General features: G+C 46.1%; 2 long non-coding RNA genes across 2 annotated transcripts, besides 4 other annotated features; one reads left to right on the top strand and one right to left on the bottom strand.

The window, feature by feature from the left end:
• Positions 1-5,970: 5,970 nt before the first annotated feature.
• LINC00567 (long intergenic non-protein coding RNA 567) lies at positions 5,971-9,379 on the bottom strand. The gene has a single exon (NR_135280.1). It is a non-coding gene; the product is annotated as a long intergenic non-protein coding RNA 567 (long non-coding RNA).
• Positions 7,981-8,522: an enhancer, noted in NCBI's record as "H3K27ac-H3K4me1 hESC enhancer chr13:111464033-111464574 (GRCh37/hg19 assembly coordinates)". NCBI's record gives its function as "activates a minimal SCP1, AML or CMV promoter by ChIP-STARR-seq in naive H9 embryonic stem cells {active_cell/tissue: H9 hESC(naive)}" and the evidence as "EXISTENCE:reporter gene assay evidence [ECO:0000049][PMID:30033119]".
• Positions 8,523-9,064: an enhancer, noted in NCBI's record as "H3K27ac-H3K4me1 hESC enhancer chr13:111464575-111465116 (GRCh37/hg19 assembly coordinates)". NCBI's record gives its function as "activates a minimal SCP1, AML or CMV promoter by ChIP-STARR-seq in naive and primed H9 embryonic stem cells {active_cell/tissue: H9 hESC(naive and primed)}" and the evidence as "EXISTENCE:reporter gene assay evidence [ECO:0000049][PMID:30033119]".
• Positions 9,380-9,999: 620 nt separating the features above from the next.
• Positions 10,000-16,361, top strand: LOC105370362 (uncharacterized). Its single transcript, NR_158538.1, has 2 exons — positions 10,000-10,068; positions 15,085-16,361. It is a non-coding gene; the product is annotated as an uncharacterized LOC105370362 (long non-coding RNA).
• Positions 12,138-12,661: an enhancer, noted in NCBI's record as "NANOG hESC enhancer chr13:111468190-111468713 (GRCh37/hg19 assembly coordinates)". NCBI's record gives its function as "activates a minimal SCP1, AML or CMV promoter by ChIP-STARR-seq in naive and primed H9 embryonic stem cells {active_cell/tissue: H9 hESC(naive and primed)}" and the evidence as "EXISTENCE:reporter gene assay evidence [ECO:0000049][PMID:30033119]".
• Positions 15,952-16,021: a silencer, noted in NCBI's record as "silent region_5518". NCBI's record gives its function as "represses an Ori minimal core promoter by ATAC-STARR-seq in GM12878 lymphoblastoid cells {active_cell/tissue: GM12878}" and the evidence as "EXISTENCE:reporter gene assay evidence [ECO:0000049][PMID:35858748]".
• Positions 16,362-17,788: the final 1,427 nt, after the last annotated feature.

The following is a 17,788-nucleotide window of genomic DNA, read 5'->3' on the forward strand; positions in this document are numbered from 1 at the left end:
TATCATTGGGAAAACAAATGTTTGTTAAAAGTATGTTTCTTGGCAAATGCAAAAAAAAAAAAAAAAAACCAGAATAAACACTGTTAATTTGTTCCTTCAAAATATGTGATTTAAAAAAATAATGAGTAAGAAAGTAACATCTTTTGGAAAAAAAACTTGAGAGAACCACTTGAAAGCAGATGGGCTAAAATTTTTATTGATGCTAAAAGTAATGGATGTCACCTGTGAAAATGTTCCTGTCTGCATACTTGAAAAAATAGCGATATCATTTTCTATCTTATCTAACAATCCTCCCAACAACGGTGAGTTTAAGTCCATTTGTTAAAAAACACAAGCATGCATTGCTTAATGATGGAAATACTTTCTGGGAAATGTGTCCTTAGGTGATTTTGTCACTGTGCAAATGACAGAGTACACTTACACAAACCTAGTGATACAGCTTACTGCACACCTAGTATGCCTATGGCTCCTAGGCCACGAACCTGAACAGGTGTGCAGTAGGCTGTGTGTCACTGCACTATGTATGTACCACACATAGTATGGATGGTACAGCCTATGGCTCCGAGGCTACAAACCTGTTTAGCATGTGACTGTATTGAATGCTGTAGACAACTGTAACACAATGGTAAGTGTGTATCTAGGCACACCTAAACATAGAAAAAGGAACAGGAAAAATACAGTATAATAATCTTACGGGACCACTGTGGTATATGTGGTCTGTTGTTGACCAGAACATCATTAGGTGGTACATGACCGTATTAAAATGTAAACCTTCTGATTAGTTTGCCAGAACAGCTAATTGATATCAGGGAAGATATTACCAGCTGAGTTTCAACAAAAAATGTTTACATAATTGGAAGATGAAATTGAAACATAAGTAACACGATTCAATAAGTCAATTATTCATTACTATCTGGATCTGTGCTTCTTTGAGAAGTACTTTAGATCAGTTTGACAGCCATTAAAATCAAGTACTGAAATTAACCGAACTGAGAGTCAGACCTTCAGATGCTGTATCAGAAAATGTTAAAGTAAGATTCTCAAAAATAGTGAGGTGTGTTCAATCGCACTGCTCTCCACTAAAAATATCATGAAGAACAGTAATATTTTAGTGAGCATAAAAGGTTTTAATATGACAAATAATATAAAATTATTTTAGAGTACTATTAGTTTAATCTTTAAATCATACTTTAGACATTTTATTGTTTTATAATATACATAATATGCCAGCATGGTGGTACGTATAGTTTATAGATACCTATGTATGCATTGGGTGGGTTTGCTCAAACATTTCACAGATAGGGGTGTAAGATTAAAAAAATGTTATAAATGACTGCACTGAAGGTGGTAAACCAAATACTATCTGACTGTACTGCAGAGTGAATTTTTACATGCGTTATCTCATTTAATTCTCACAACAATGAGATGCAGGTATTATTTTTCAGGCAATAGTTGTGCCTAGTTTTTAGTTCAGAAAACCCGAAATCTAGAGAAGTTAAAAAATGTATTTGTGTTTTCAAAGCAGTGAGGGATTCGCCGGGACTGGAAACCAAAGCTTTTGGCTCTTTTCATGTCATGGTTGTGACTAAGAATGGAGACTGTCCTCAGGGCTTCACGGTGTGTTCTAAAATGGACTTTCCACTTGACATGCAGCCTGAAATCGTAAAATCAGCAGTGACCCTTAAAGGAATACTTGCCAATGTGCCTTCACATGCTGGGTGTCCAACAGATAGAAGTTGGACCTGTAAATTTACATCGACAAATAAACAGCACACAATCCTCCTCTGAGCCATTCCCTAGAGTAGCAAGGCCGTTCTTCCTAGCATGTGAAGTAGTTTATTCCTCATGCAGGAGAGCATTATGAATCCTAATTACTGCTTCACATTTGTAAAGCACCTTCATATGGCTGGCTCATCTCATCACAGGTACTCTTAGATGGAACGGCGCTTACCCTCATTTTACGGAAAAGGAGACCCAGGCACAGAGAAGCTGACTGCTGCTGAGCTGGGCCAAGCCTAGAGCTCGCTGCTCCGATCTCAAGTCTGCCCACTGGATGGTGTATCTCCTGACCCAAGGTGCGGCAGACACCCAGTTACTTCTGCACAGCCACTTCAGAGAATCTCCTTCTGGGTGTAGTAGATTTGCCTCTGGGAGCCATTTCTTAGAATGCAGTTACGCTTTGGAAGAGATGGTGGCTATTATCTATTTATGCTGAAGTATTATTTAACCTATTAGGTTGCTTTCTAAACCATCAAATGAATAGAATTTTGTGCCAAAGAAAATGAGACAGGAGCCATGCCTATGATCTTGTGGGCAGAGAGGGAAAGTGGGTCAGGGCTCAGGGGCCTTGCAGGCATTTGGAGGGTGCAGCAGGGTTTAAAGTTCAAAAGTCACTCTTGGTATTTATACTAACCTAATGAAGGAGGAGAAGAGGTGATTCTTAGCCCCCATTTCACAGATAAATTAACTGAGGCTCAGAAGGGAAACTAATGTAACTTTCTTAAGGTCACACAACTCTTAAGAGGTCCCTACAAAACATTGAGTCTACTTTTTTTTTCCTTTTTATCTTTTGGAAACAGGGTCTTGCTCTGTCACCCAGGCTGGAGTGCAGCGGTGTGATCAACAGGTCATTGGAGCCTTGACCTCCTGGGCTCAGGGCATCTTCCTGCTTCAGCCTCCTGGGTACCTGGGATCACAGGTGCCTGTCAACACACCCAGCTAATTTTTGTATTTTTTTTTTGTAGAGACAGGGTCTCAGTATGTTGCCCAGGTTGGTCTCAAACTCCTAGTCTCAAGTGATCCCCCAGCCTCAGCCTCCCAAAGTGCTGGGATTATAGGCATGAGCTACTGGGTCCAGCCATCAGTCTACTTTTTCATTTCTGTTGCTAATACTTCACTTGGGTGGCTCTTACTAGGGGTAGTTCTGCCTCCTTGGAGCTGTTTGGTGTCTATGGAGACACTTTGGCCATCTTGATGATTGGCAGTGCTGCTGGTATCTAGGTAGGGTATCTGGTGGGCAGGGCTAGGAGTGATGGAGGTTTTAGAAAGTGCCAGGCATCCCCACACAGGAAGAATTGCTTTGCACCAGCCCTGCTTCCTAAAGGCCAGCTGGACATTCATGCGGAATGGCTTGACCTAGTGCTTGTGAGTTTTTGAGCCTAGAATGTAAAGCTGCACCCAGGTTCAGCGACAGACAAAACAGCAGGGCGCTCAGAGCCCCCCTGTCCAAGGTGCACAACCGGGGTTCAGACCTTCCCTATGAAGTGGTGCCAGGGTCCAAAATTCCCCTGGGAAGTGGCTGGAGGTCCCTTTCCAAACTCTCAGTGGTGCCTTGGGACTGCCTCTGCTTTGGAAGTATTTGTTCTTTATCTCTCTGCTCATATGCAAAAGAACTTATTAAAAAGCTGTAATGGAGTCTTGGGAAGTTTTTGTGATTGGATGCACCTGAGCTCATATCTTGGTTCTCCTACTTTCTTGGGCAAGTCACTAAACTACTCTAGATCTTGGTTTCTTTATTTGTAAAATAGAGTAAAATGCCCTTTTCATTTGGCCATCCAGAAAGTTAAATGAGATCACATGTGTGTTTAAAGCACATAGGCCTATTCCCATTTGATTCTTTCATTTCTTCTTCTCCCTTCTTTCTGATGAAGGAGGACTTTAGTTTGCTTCTGTAACTTAACCCATACTTAAACAGGAAGAGTATATTTAGCATTGAGAATATATTTTTTTCTGCAGCTGTCCTAGATTAAAATAAACAAAAATAAATAAATGAATGCCTACCATTCTGAGCAGCTCAGGGTGTATGTTTGAGACTGCTTTGAAACTCTAATACAAGCACAGGCATACCTGTCCTGGTGCTTTTGCACACAAGCCTCACACTGTCCAAGAGGACAGAGTGTGTGTGGCTCCCAAATGCATGTGGAGCCCCCTCCAGATCTGGGGAGGCTGCCCCATATGGTGCTGGACAGTGGCTGCACCAGGACCTGGAGGGGAACCTGAGACCTAGGCCCAGGCAGGTGGGGGCTGTGAACATGTGGCTGGGAGAGGCCATTGTCCATACACAGACAGCCCAAGTTGTTCAACTCCATTTGCCAACCCATGCCCTGCCCCTGGCTTGACTGGTCCCCCTCCTCTTCTGCTACTAAAGTATCTCCTGAAGCTGAGAACAAGCCAATGAGGATGATGGTGCCAGGGAGAGAGGATCCTGTGTTGGTCAAGGATGTGCGAGTAGCTGTTACCTCCATTGGCAGTTTTGTCACTAAAAGACCTCATTCACTTGAGCATTTGAGGATGACCAAATAGAATCACTAACTTTGGTTATTTCCAGTTTGGTCTGCATTAGACCATGACCAAGGAAAGCTGTGCCAATGACAAACCATATGCTTAAGTTTTCACCACATAAAAAGTTACTTTTAGGCAGAAGTCATGATACACTTTCCAAGAAATGGTTGTGGAATATTGTCCAAGCTGCGGGGGATTCGTTAAGTGGACATTGGAGAGCAGTGGTGCCTGGTGGCTTGGCACAGGTTCAGATGGAGAGACAAAAAAAAAAAAATTGCCATAAAATAAGCGAAGCATTGGTAGAGCCCAGAAAAAGTACCTGATTTTCCAGTTGGAAGTAACCCAAAAACGTGGTCAAGAATTTATATTGATTTTTCAAGACCTTTCTAGGGAAAGAACTTGAGGATCCTGGTAAGCTTTTCCAAAATGACTCAGAGTATCCATTTCTGTTTCTTCTCAAACCTTGCTATATATAATCACTGCAGGTCTGAAGAAACTCCACAAAACCTAAGCAGCCTCAATAAGAAGAAATCTAAACACACCATGGTCAAACTGCAAAAACCAAATCTTATGATACAGTGGGCAGTGGGCTATGTGTGCCAGAGAGGGCTTGATCTCAGGGGGTCCCTGGGGGTCTCCTGGTTTGTGTGGTATGTTGTTCTCAGAATATGACTGCCAGTAAAGTGCTGTATTTTCCAAGATGTAATCATTCCTTGTTTATTCGTTCCTGCCACCCTACACAGAAGGCATCAGAGTCCTAGAACGGCAGCTTGTTTTAATTAGAATTTCATGCAATTGAGAGAATTTAATAAGGTGGGTAGGATCTCATGTATTATATGTGTAATTAATAGGCAAAAATTAACAACCATTTATGCCAACTACAAACAGAAGATCTGATGGAATAAAGGACAACTTTTATAATAACAACAACTACTCGGAATACTGCAGGATATTACTACTACTTCAAAGTACTTCAAGATAAAGAAGAGGATAAAACAAGTGGAAAACCATAGTATGTTCACGGGTAGGAATCTACCTCATCATACAGAAATCACTTCTCTGTAGTTTATTTATAAGTTAAGCTTGATCCCATTTAAAATACGAGAAGTGTTGAGGATTTTTTAAAATGAGAAAAACCAATTATAAACTTTATAAGACACATACATATGAGATTTACATGAACTGTCTCTGGAAAGATGCAGGAGAAATGGAGTCCATTGGCTGCTCCCTGGGAAGGAAATAGGATGACTGGGGGAATGACTGGGAGATTTATTTCATTGGCTCTCATTTTGATTTATTTTTATTTTGAACTATGTGAGTATATAATTTTTGAAAATAGAAAATTATTTAAAATAGTAGTATAGATATTAAGCAATCAAGAAAACCCAGGAAAATACTGAAAAATAAAACAATAAAGTTTCCCATGTATTAAAACATATTATAATGTGGCATTAGTTCATGAATAGAGGGATGGAACTACCTAGGAAGTCCAGAAAATAGATGCCATATTATTACGTAATAAAGTGGCATTTGAAATCAGTGGGAGAAGTGTATTATCATCTGAAAGAGAAAGCTGGATTCCAACCACTCACATTTACAAAGTAAATTTCGTATGGATGGAAAATTTACACATGAAAAAAATGAAACCTTAAAAGTAACAGAAAAAACTGGGAGAATTATTAAATAATCTCTGATTCAGAAAGGACCTTTTTAATTCTGACACAAAATCTTTAAGCCAGAAAAGAAAAGATTGAGAAATTTGATCAACTCCCCACCCCTCAAACTAAGATATTCCTGAATGGCAAACATCACCAGAAACAAAATTAAATGATAATAAATTAGGAAAAATTCATGTACTTCACATCAAAGGAAAACGGCCAAAACAGTTAATTGTGTTGTGTGTTTTAAATATTGATTCCTAAAAATCAATATTTAAAAAGGACAGTAACTTAATTTAAAAAGTACCTGAAAACTGTACACACATACATAACCAGTTCCTTGGTGCTCAAACTCCTTACAATAAGAACGCAAACTAAAACAACACTGAAATACAATTTTGTTTGCTTATCAGATTGGCAAGGAATAGTACAAATAAAGTTTGTTCCCACACTGTATTTGTAAAGATGGTTGGGGCGGGGGGGTGGGGGGAAATGCGCAGTTTATCTTTGCTGCTGGAACTGTAAACAGGTAAAATTTCCATGGAAGGTTCTTTGACGACAGCTAACAAAATTTAATACGCATGACGTCTTCAACCCAGCAACTCTAGGTGTTTAGCCTATGGATCTACCCCAAGGGTGCAGAACGACTCCTGCACAAGTGCACTGAGCACGGTGGTATTTGTCAAAGCAAGATAACGGAAATAATTTAATGTCTGTTAGTGGGGATGGTTCAACAAATATTTGTACTGCCATACAATAAAATGCTATGAAGCCATTTCAAAGAGTGAGGATGCGCTATATGTGCTGAAATGAAACAATTTCCAATATAGAAAGTTAAAAAAACTAATGTGAAGAAGTAAAAAGAAAAAAAAAAGAACAACAAACAAAAACAATGTGAGGTATGTTTAGGATACTGTCACTCATATAATATATTGTATATGTGTATACACGTATGTATGTGTATATATGACATATATTTATGCAGATAATGCATTATATAATACTTGCATTGCCAAGAAACTGGTAAGCGTGCTCATCTCTGAATGGTAGAAGTAAGTGCTGGAGGAATAGAGGGGCATGCCAGTGCATGTTATATATTCAAGAAATGAAAAAAATAAATAAAATAGTAAAATAAAACAATTAAAACCTTTAAATTTATCCTTTCAACAGCTTTTACTAAGCATCTTCATTGCTGGCCCTGTGTTAGATGACAGCATAAACCAGCAAGACAGACCAGGCTGAAGCAAAATTAAGACTGAGAGACGAAACCAAGGTTGAGCCCAGGTTAGGAAAGTTTAACCTCCCAGCTGGGTGCTCCAGCCCCAATAGCGTCGCGATGCTGGGGACGAGGTCTAGGAGAAGGGAAATGGGGGGCACTTAGAGCCCCAAATCCATGAACCACGCTGGTCTGTTTTAGGAAAGCAACATCTTGAGGCTTCATGGTGTTCTGTGCTCCCTGCTGGGAAGCGCTGGGCTGGCTGGAGGTTTTCATCTCGGGACTGGGGGTGCATCCCCACACTGCCTGGCTGAATATGTTGGTGCTTTCCCAATGACCTTGACGTCTGGTGTTTGTCTGGTGCAATACGTCAGTGGGGAGACGGTCGTGCTAACAGCGTATTCGGCTCAGCAAAAGCTTTCATTGCATGCATCCATGGCCTCTTTGCAAAGATGGGAACAGCACGTCTCAATAACACACAATTTCATCTGGCTCTGATGATTCAGAAGGCGCCCCGGTGCCTCAGGCTCATCATTAGAAGCCAATGATGGCTCTGTAGATGTGGTAGTAAAGTCCAGGTAGCCGAAAGATTGAGTAAGGAAGCATTTGCTGGGAAATGGGGGTCTCTTGCCGCAGTGCTCCCCAGACACCTCAGGAAGTGACCTTCTGCCTGGGGCCTCTCTCCGCTGACAATAATGTCACACACTTCCTTGTCTCAAAGTTGAACACTGCCAGAATGATCCACATCCAAGGTAAGCTGGCTTCAGCTTGTTAATTTAGTCCTGCTCTCAAAGAAAAGGAAGAGGTCCTCACCCTGGCTGACACCTCTGGCCGCAGTGGCCCTGGTCCCCAGGGTGACAAGGGCCACACTCCTTAAAGAGCCTGAAATTCCCAGGAAGCTCCCCTTTTAAATCCAGTTAGGGAATATTATTTATAACACACGCCTCACAGATATTAATTCATTAAGAGAAATAATGGATGCGGAAGTGCTGAGGACTGAGAGTAACCTGCTAACACGGCCCCATCCTCAAGGGGCTTTCCCCATTTAGCCGGGGCCTGAGAACTGTGTAGGATGTTTACTTAGTGCTTTGAAAGAACTCACTGCATCCCCTCAACAATCCTTTCATGTGGCTGTTATAATTTTCTCCATGGTTGCAGATGAAAAAAAAAATCATTCGGGAAGGTTGAGCCATTATCCATGGCCACAGAGCTCCAAAGCGGTGGAACTCGGAATTGAAGCCCAGGTCGGTTGAAGCCAGGGCCGCAAACGTGCTCCCTGCCGCCCCACTGCCTGGCCGACACACTCACGGGTGCCGGGGCCACTGCACGCATGACAGTGCCAGGAGCGTGCACTTACTCCCCGAGCCCTTCCCTCCACGGCCAGGCCCGCAGTGTGAGTGCCAGGGCCTTCGGCGAAGCCCAGGGAAGCCCAGCGCCCTCGCCCTGGTCCTTTGACACATGACGAGACCTCCTCTGGGCAGAGGCCCCTGGATTCTGGGGCTTTCTGCCAGGCAGGGGCTGGGGCAGGCCCCGCACGCAAGCACCTGCCCCCGCACACAGGCATCTGCGACCCCGGGACTTAGCCCCCGCTGGCCCGCTGCAGTCTCCATTCCTTAAGCGCCCAGAGCTCCCTCTGCGCTCTCCTGTGCCCGCGTCTCCTCTGTTCTGTTTCGTTCCGCTCTGCTTCGGGCTTGTCTCAATTACATTTCCGTAAGGGTTCGGGTCCTCGGCTTACTAAGGGGCCTCTGAGAGGCCAGCTGGCCACCGGGACTGTCTTTCCTGCAGTGGAACTTTCCAGATTATCTTCCTTTCCCCCATCTCGCCTTCTGCCTCCTGCCGTCTTCTCGGTGTTTAGCTCGGGCAGGGTCCCTCCTGCAGAAACCGCTCCTGCCCGCAGCGCGCGCGCTTGCTGCCTCCCGCCCGGCTAAGGGAGGGCGGTTTCAGACAGATCCACTGGAGGGCAGATCTCCAGAGCCGGGAGCCAAAGGGGGCTGTGGCAGAAGGGGAGGCGGCCTTCGGGCTCAGGCGAGACAGGCTGACTCCCCCAGGAGGACCGCGCTGCCTGGGGGAGGCGAATGCAGGGCCCATGAGGCACTGACAGGAAGAGCCCCTGACGGCGGGGGGCAGCTGAGGAGCGGGAGCTCCAGGGGGAGGGGGCAGAGACTCGCCTCACAGCGCGCCCCTCACGACGTCCCCGTCACGACGCCCTCCACACGACGCGCTCCCCTCACGATGCCCCCGTTACCACGCGCCCTCCTCACGACATCCCCCTCACGACGCCCCCGTCACGACGCGCCCCCTTCGTCACGTCCCCCTCACGACCTCCCCCTCACGACGCCTTCCTCACGACGTGCCCTCCTCACGACGTCCCCGTCACGACGCCCTCCACACGACGCGCTCCCCTCACGATGCCCCCGTTACCACGCGCCCTCCTCACGACATCCCCGTCACGACGCCCCCGTCACGATGCACCTCCTTCAGGAAGTCCCCCTCACGATGCTCCCCCTCACAAAGTCCCCCTCACGACGCCTTCCTCACTACGTGCCCTCCTCACGTCGCGCCTCCCTCACGACACATCCCCCTCATGACGCGGCCCCCTCACAATGCGCCCCCCTCACGACGTCCCTCTCCTGACCCCCCCTCACCACGCCTCCACTGACAACGTCCTTCTCACGACGCCCCCCTCACGACGTCCCCGTCACCACGCTCCCCCCTCACGACGTCCCCCTCAGGACACCCCTCTCACGACGTCCCCCTCACGACGTCCCCCTCACACTACCGCCCCTCTTGGCAGCTTGACCTTCAACCCTCCAGGGTTTCTTTTTGACCTTTGCTTTCCTTCCAAACTTTCCCGCCTCTGGAATAAAAGAGTCGCAGAACAGAGAAAGGCTTCAGGGATGGGCTGTTTTGCAGGTGAGGAAACAGGCTCAGAGAAATCCGCCGGGGAACTGCCCAAGGCGACGCGGACTGGCAGACCCAGGCCTCAGACACGGATCTTCTTCCTCAGGCTCTTCCCCCAGCCGGCCGTCTTCCCACTCCGACACGCACGGCTGCATGGGGGCTGCGTCCCTTTTCAGCAGCTGTGTTCGGAGCTGAGCAGCTTGGAGCCACACACGTGCGTTATCTCAGGGTTCCGGGACACGCGTGCTGGGGGCGCTGCCCGGGCCCTCACTAGGCGGGATCAAGTGTTGGCCGCGCTGTATTCTTACGCGGAGGATCCGAGGACGGCCTGGAAAAGAATCCACCTCTTCGGAAGTTCCCACAGGCTGTTGGCCGAGTTCACTTTCTCTCTGAGGGCCCCAGGTCCAGGTCCGTGGCTGCCCTCAGTTTCTCTCCACGCGGAAGTTTCCAGTGCGGCCACTTACGTCATCAGCCAGCAGGGAGGCTCTAGAGCAAGTGAGCTGTGGGTGGAGGCCAGGGAATGTACCTGGATCATGGGAGAGACGTGCTATCCCTCTACCATATTCTGTGGATCAGAAGCAAGTCACAGATCCCCCCACATCAAGGAGAGAGGATTTCAGCAAGATATGAACACACTAGGAGGTGGGGACCCTGGTGCCACCTTAGTGTCTGTCCAGCAGAGGGACCAATTCCCAAATGAATGCATGCACAGCCGCACACACTAATCCCAAACAACAGCAACACAGTCATGTGGTCAACAGTGTTTTTATTTTATTATTTTATTTTATTTTATTTATTAAGTGCTAGGCACTGGAAACATAGCAGTGAAGAAAAAGAAAAATCCCCGTCCTCATGAAGCTTAGATGACGCTGGCGCACACTAAATCCACCAACAGCGGTCACAGCTGTAGCGTCTACATGGTTGCGATGCTTAATTTTATGTGTCCATGTGGCTGGGCCCAGACGTGAAGTCAAACCTCATTCTGGATGTCCCTGTGAGGATGTTTTTGGATGAGATGAACATTTAAACCCGTGCACTTTGAGTAAAGCAGATGGCCCTTGCTAGTAGGTGGGCCTCCCCGGGTCAGCTGAAGACCTGAATGGAACAGAGACTGACCTCCCTGAGCAAGCAGGGGCTGCAGACACGGTCTTCCTGGGGTCTCCAGCCTGCTGGCCCACCCTGCAGATTTCAAATTTACCAGCCTCCATAGTCACCTGAGCCAATTCCTTAAAAGTAATCTCTCTATATATACATATACACATATCCTGTTGGTTCTGGTTTTTTGTTTGTGTTTCCTTCTAGAGAACCTGCTATTACAGTGGTGTATATGCATTCCATTCCATGATGGGTAATATAGTAAGAGACAGCTTTTATTAGTTTTCCTTCCAAATATTCAATGTGTTAATATGCTCAAAACCCTTAATTCAATTCTCTGAATCCTTCTAATTGGGGATGGGGTAATGTTTGCAGAAGAAAGTCCACCTAGAGGATCGTTTTGTGGAGGGCTTTGTGTCTGAGAAGGGGCTTCCTTGCCGTAGCATCTGCCCTCCTGCTGCTCACATCTGAAGCTTTCTTTTCTGTCAGCTGCTCCTAGGTATCTGATCTTTCCGGCCTCTGCGGTTTTTTTTTTTTTTTTTTTAATTTTTCCCTCTTTTTCCCAGCCTCAAACCTGTCATCTGCATCTTTCCTTCTTTAACCACTGAGCCAGGTGCTCTAAGGCTTTGGGCTCCTTGGTACTTTACGATTCACCCCCGCCCTGGGGCCGGACAGCCTTGGAGAATTTCCAGAAGGGAAAGTCTTCTGGTAACCAGATAATTCTTTCAGAAGTAGGTGTGTTTTTGCAACATTAGTCAATATCTCACGTCCTGCAAGGGACTTTCCATCGATTCCTTTTGAGAGGCCTGTAGGGTAGGTTACGGTTAAGAAGGCTTTTCAGAACAGTGTGAAGGAAGGAATGGCAAGTGCATTTCATGGCCTCGTAACCCTTCTGTGTCCTTGTTGGTGAAAAGAGAGGGTGGAGCTTTATTCCTGAGCGCCAGGTGCCTTTCCCTGTGGTCACAAACGTGTAAATGGATACATTTCTATTTGCTTAAGGAACAAATATTGCTGTGGGAAGTGACTAAATAGCTTCCCAGAAGCAGCGGTCATGGGGCCTTTGGACCAGCTGGGCATCTTCTAATCAAGGCAGGAGGGGGAATGATGCAAAAACAAGATGGGTCTATGCTGGAACATTTCCACCGTCAAATTCACCAAAAATGTGTGGCAGGCTCACTCCCCAAGCCACAAAGCTCTGATTCACAGACACTCCTGGTACACGAACAGCAGGGGCCCCATCATCTGCCATTCACTCTGATGTTGACTTTGAAACCAGTCTGTGTGGCCACTTCCAGCTTGAAAGGCCTTGATCAATTTACCCAACCTCCCTGCCGCCTCAGTTCTCTCATCTGCAGAATGGAAATGTTGCAGCAGCTCCTTCCAACAACCCCTTGGAAAGGCAGGGAGGAAGGCCAGTTGTCACCTGCGACAACTGTTCCCACTGTGATGTTCCCACTGTGATGTTTGCCTTGACAGGGTGGTATTGCCACATTTCAGGGTCTGGCTTCAATTTTGTAGGCCCAGGAAGTCAGTAGATAATATAGAATAATTGATCAAGCACCTAAGAATGGCTGCTAAAAGAACTCACAAGAATCTGAAGTGAGTATTAATTTACAGCAAGAACTGTAACCAACTGGACAGGACAGAAGCGGCCGGGGCTCCCCTGCTCCTTCTTTAAAGGCAAAGCTATACGCAGGGCCAAATGATCATTGCCGTGGGATTGGAGTTTGCTTGCTGGGTGTGAGTTGGGTGGAGGTGGGGCTGAGGCTGGACAACACTGATGGCAGTGGTCCCTCTACAAGAACCGAGGCTTCTGTGGCACTGTGAGGAGGCCCTTACAGGCTTGGCAGGTCCCATGAGAGTCCCTGCCAGTGGCCTGGCTGGCAGCTCCCCCTCTTGCTGCTTCCCACAACCACATGCCCCAAAGTCCACAGTCATTACTAAGGTGTAGCAAGGAAAATAAGACCATAGGCTTGGAAAAGATAAAAATAGCAACCAGTGACACCAGACCCAAAAGCCCTCAAGGATACCAATTAATCCCCTTAAAAGTAGTCTTCATCAGCCTCTTCTTCCTCTTCTTGTACAGCAAATGTTTCCTCAAGGATCAACACTAAAGAAAAATAATACATAATTCTTACTAAATGTTTTATTATTGTTCCCCTTATGTTGGAAATAGATTATACATATAAAAGAGTACATAAAATTTGCATATCTGTTTAAGGAAAAAGAATAAGGACAAACACCTGCATATGCACCCCCGGGTGACATGCCCCTACCTGTGGGCACCCTGACCTGCCCCTGCACAGGAGGCACCACCTGCAGGGTATGCAACAATTCCTGTGCTTTTCCTGTGTGTTTTCCACTATGTGTGTCTCAGTGGAGAAACGTCCTGCTCGGTTTTGTTGTTTGTGAACCTTACACAAATGGCATCTTACATTACGTAGTCTTCTATGACTTCTCTTTGCTCAAGATACATCATGTGAATTCAAGTGGCTTTGTTTCATTCTGTGTCACTGCTATAGAGTGTTCTAACACAGAACAGACCACAATCTATTTATCCAGCTTACTACTGATGGAGATGTTTGTGTTGCTTACATATTTTTACTATTACAAACAATGCTGGTGTGAACATTCTTCTAAACATCCCTATTACATAAGGGCCAGAATTTTTCCAGGCATACAACAAAGAAGGGCTATTATGGGCCATGGAACGGACATGCTCACATCTACCAGATGACACCCAGTTCTTTCCAAAGTGGTCACCCGAGTTTCCACCTTCCCCAGAATTGAAAACGAGTCCCTTTTTTGCTACATTCACATTTCTGCCAGCATTCGCTGTCGCCTGATTTTTAAGTATAAAATGGTAGCTTATTGTTTCCTTTTCTGTGAATTGTCTGGTGGGGATTTTTGAGCACTTTTCTATTAGGTTGTTTGTCTTTTACCTTGTTGACTGATATGAATTCTCCACATCTGCTGGATATGAATGTTTTGTCAGGTACATGCCCAGGCATTCTTTTCTACTTCCTGGCTCGTCTTTTTAATCTCTTGGTGGGATGGTGTCCTTTGATGAGTAGAAGTTCTCAATTTTAACATAGCTTAGCTTATTGGTTATTTTCATGATTGTGTGTATGTATGAGTGTATTAAGAGCCCTCCCTGCTCTGAGGTTTAGGAGATAACCTCTACCTCATCGTGTAAGAGGTTCATAATGGCTTTTTTTTTTCACATCGAAGTCTTTAATCCATGTGGAATTGATTTTTTAAAATATAATGTGAAGTAGGGATCGAATCTCATTTTCCTTTGTTTAGTGCATTGCCTCAGTACTGCTTATTGAGTAGTGTTTATTTGCTGTTTACACACTTATGCATATGCCATTATTAAACACGGCAGACCTGTTTTAACGGAGGTCTGTTTTCTGGGTGAGAGTGGGCTTGGCCTGCTCTGCGGCACTGCCCGTGTGTTCGTGGTCTTGCCAAGCTGCTTGTTCTAAAGACTTCGCTTTTGGAGTTGTCTTGAGCTTTGAGAGGGCACAGCCCCAACCATGTCCTTCCTGAAGAACAAGGGTCCTGGCTGTACCTGGTCCTTCATTTATTTCCATATAAATTTCAGAATCAGCTTTTCAAGGTCCATAAGAAAAGAAATCTGTGATTTAGATGAAATTGTATTGACTCTACAGTAGGTGTTTTTACTTTGTTATTGTTGTTTCCTTAAAGTAATCTTACTCAAAAAGAAATGTAAGCTCTGCGTAGAAAACAGTGAAACACGGGGAAATAAAGGAAAAAAGAAGCAGTTACTACATCACCTCGACTGCCCCCACCAGACAACACTGCTAGCATTTTAATGTCTTTTATCTTTAATATATATTTTATTATATATAAAATATCTAATAAATATATGCATACATAGTGTACATTTGCATACCCATGTATTTACAGATGCCACACACCACGTGTTCCCAGCTCTAAGAGGCCTGTTTGTCCCCATTTTACCACCTCTGGATTCAGGACACGCCTGGCTGCATTGTCTCCTTGTCTGCATAGAAACTTGTGGGACAGAAGCCGCTGGCAGACGTTGGTGGGGACCCTCACAACGCCCCCAATTCAGGCCCCTGAGGCCACAGGAAAGGATGTGGCACAAGGAGGCCAACCATGCAGTCCTGCTTGGAGCGGTGACTGGGAAGACAGACGTACCCTGAAGAAGCACAGAGGAATCGAGACCAATTGTTTTTGCCTTATTTTCCTAGTTAAGTATACAAAGGAGTGATATCAATAAAAACCTATGTCTAAATAAGTAAAAACTGCTCTTTTGACAGGTACGAAATGAAAACTCTGTGTTGAGAGCAGCTTTCTAGTTTGGGGGACAATCTTGATCTCTCTTAGCTGAATGGGAGTCTTCGATTCTATGAAGGGCCAGACGCATTGCTGGTGGGTGGGTTGGCACAGTCCACTGCAAGCCTTCACCAATGGCACTGGTGCCGCCGCTGACGCAGGGAGGAGAGGGCTGCTCTGCGGATTGACCGGTTGGAGGCAGGTGCAGGTTCCAGAGACCCCCATGCTCCCCAATGCTTGGGAGGCGCTGTGGTTTGACTTGAATGCTGCTGTGGAGTTATTGGTGGCTCCCCCAAGCATAGTTCACAAATGAACTGAGGTTTGATGTTGTTTTAGGTACCATACGTGTTATTTTCTCAAAAATATGTCCTGGAACGTCCCTGCCTCCGATGGCTTTCTTTGGGGACATGAGTTCCCTGGCATGTGGGTGGCAACACTGCCCCCTGCTGGTGTTGGGCAGCATCATCAGGCACCCGGGCAAAGGCTCCAGCCTCAGCCTCGGCCGTAGGTCACAGCCGATTGGACACAGAACCTGAGATTTTCCTACAAAGTTTAAGATTTGAACTGAATACCATCCAGAGGTGTGATCCTAAAGCAATGGCGACATTGCTACTAGGTTCAAGCAGAACTTACTTTTTCCCTACTGCTCACCAGGTATTAAATATTTAGTGACATTTCTGTTACCTGGCATTGTAATTATTTCAAATGAATTCTTGTGTTCTATATTGTTTCGTTTTTATTGGACTATGTTTTTCTTTACATGTATTGTGGATACCTTTGTAAAGACTCATCCAAATTTATTTTTTTGCTCCATATTTTGTAAGAATTTTTAGTAATGCATTTGCCTTGTCAGTATGAATCTTATATAAATTTATTCTAATTCATTTCATATTGTGGCTTGCTTTCTATTTACTGGCATTTCCTGAAATACAATGTCTATATTTGCTTTTATATGATATGTGAAGTACTTGTAAATTTACAAGTAAATTTATTGTGTTTACTTGCAGCCTATATACTTGTATTTATAAACACAACATATTTCTTGTTAGCTACGTGGCTTTCCATTTTTCTTTTTTGGGTTTAGTAGAAAATTACCACATATCTAAAACTTATTATCTCAACCAGATTCCAATATACAATATAACTTTATTTATGCCCGTGTTTTCCTATAATATCTCTTGAAAATAGCTTTCAGTACATAAATGCTTAAGGTTTTTTTTTTTCAAAAAGCGTCCTGTGGGTTGGGAGGCACTGATGTGTCCCCAGTGCCAGCAGGTGTGTTGGCTGTTGGTGATGGGCCGCTAATCCAGCTGCTGCCGGCTGACTGTTACCGTGGGGATGACTTTCAGGTGTCTGATGGCGTTGTCAAGCAGACTCTGTGGACACAGGGAACTTAAGGACTGCCTCGCTCTGAAGTGGTTATCTCTGCAGTTAATGTTTCCACCGAGGACTCTGCTTCCAGCCTGTCCATCCTGCCCACCTAAGAAAACCCTTAGAAATAAGGGGTGAGTCCCTCGAGGATTTAACTGTTTAGTTGTGAAATGGGCACGTGGCGTCCAGGGAACACAAGCAGCAGCGGAACTGGACAGCAAGGGCTTCGTGGGGAGCTGAGTGTCCTCTGAGGGTGGTGGCTCCTGCAGGGAATGACTTACGGGTTCAGGGTCCCTGATCTGGGAAGGCCCAGCCCCATGCCCCGTGTGCTCTCTGGGGCCCACTTCCCATCCATAGTGGACTGGTTCAGGCTAGACCCTCTGCAAATCTGGAATAAGGTTTGCCTTCTGCCTTGGTGGAACTGAGAGGTGACAGCATGCTGGCAGTCCTCGGAGCCCTCGCTTGCTCTTGGCACCTCCCCTGCCTGGGCTCCCACTTTGGTGGCATTTGAGGAGCCCTTCAGCCCCCCCACTGCACTGTGGGAGCCCCTTTCTGGGCTGGCCAAGGCAGGAGCCCACTCCCTCAGCTTGCAGGGAGGTGTGGAGGGAGAGGCGCGAGCGGGAACCGGGGCTGCGTGCGGCGCTTGCGGGCCAGCTGGAGTTCCGGGTGGGCGTGGGCTTGGCGGGCCCCGCACTCGGAGCAGCCAGTCAGCCCTGCTGGCCCGGGGCAATGAGGGACTTAGCACCTGGGCCAGTGGCTGCGGAGGGTGTACTGGGTCCCCCAGCAGTGCCAGCCCACCGGCGCTGTGCTCGATTTCTCGCCAGGCCTTAGCTGCCTTCCCGCGAGGCAGGGCTTGGGACCTGCAGCCCGCCATGCCTGAGCCTCCCACCCACTCCATGGGCTCCTGTGCAGCCCGAGCCTCCCCGACGAGCACTACCCC

The sequence above is a fragment of the Homo sapiens genome, chromosome 13 (assembly GCF_000001405.40).
Source record: "Homo sapiens chromosome 13, GRCh38.p14 Primary Assembly".
Classification (NCBI taxonomy): domain Eukaryota; kingdom Metazoa; phylum Chordata; class Mammalia; order Primates; family Hominidae; genus Homo; species Homo sapiens.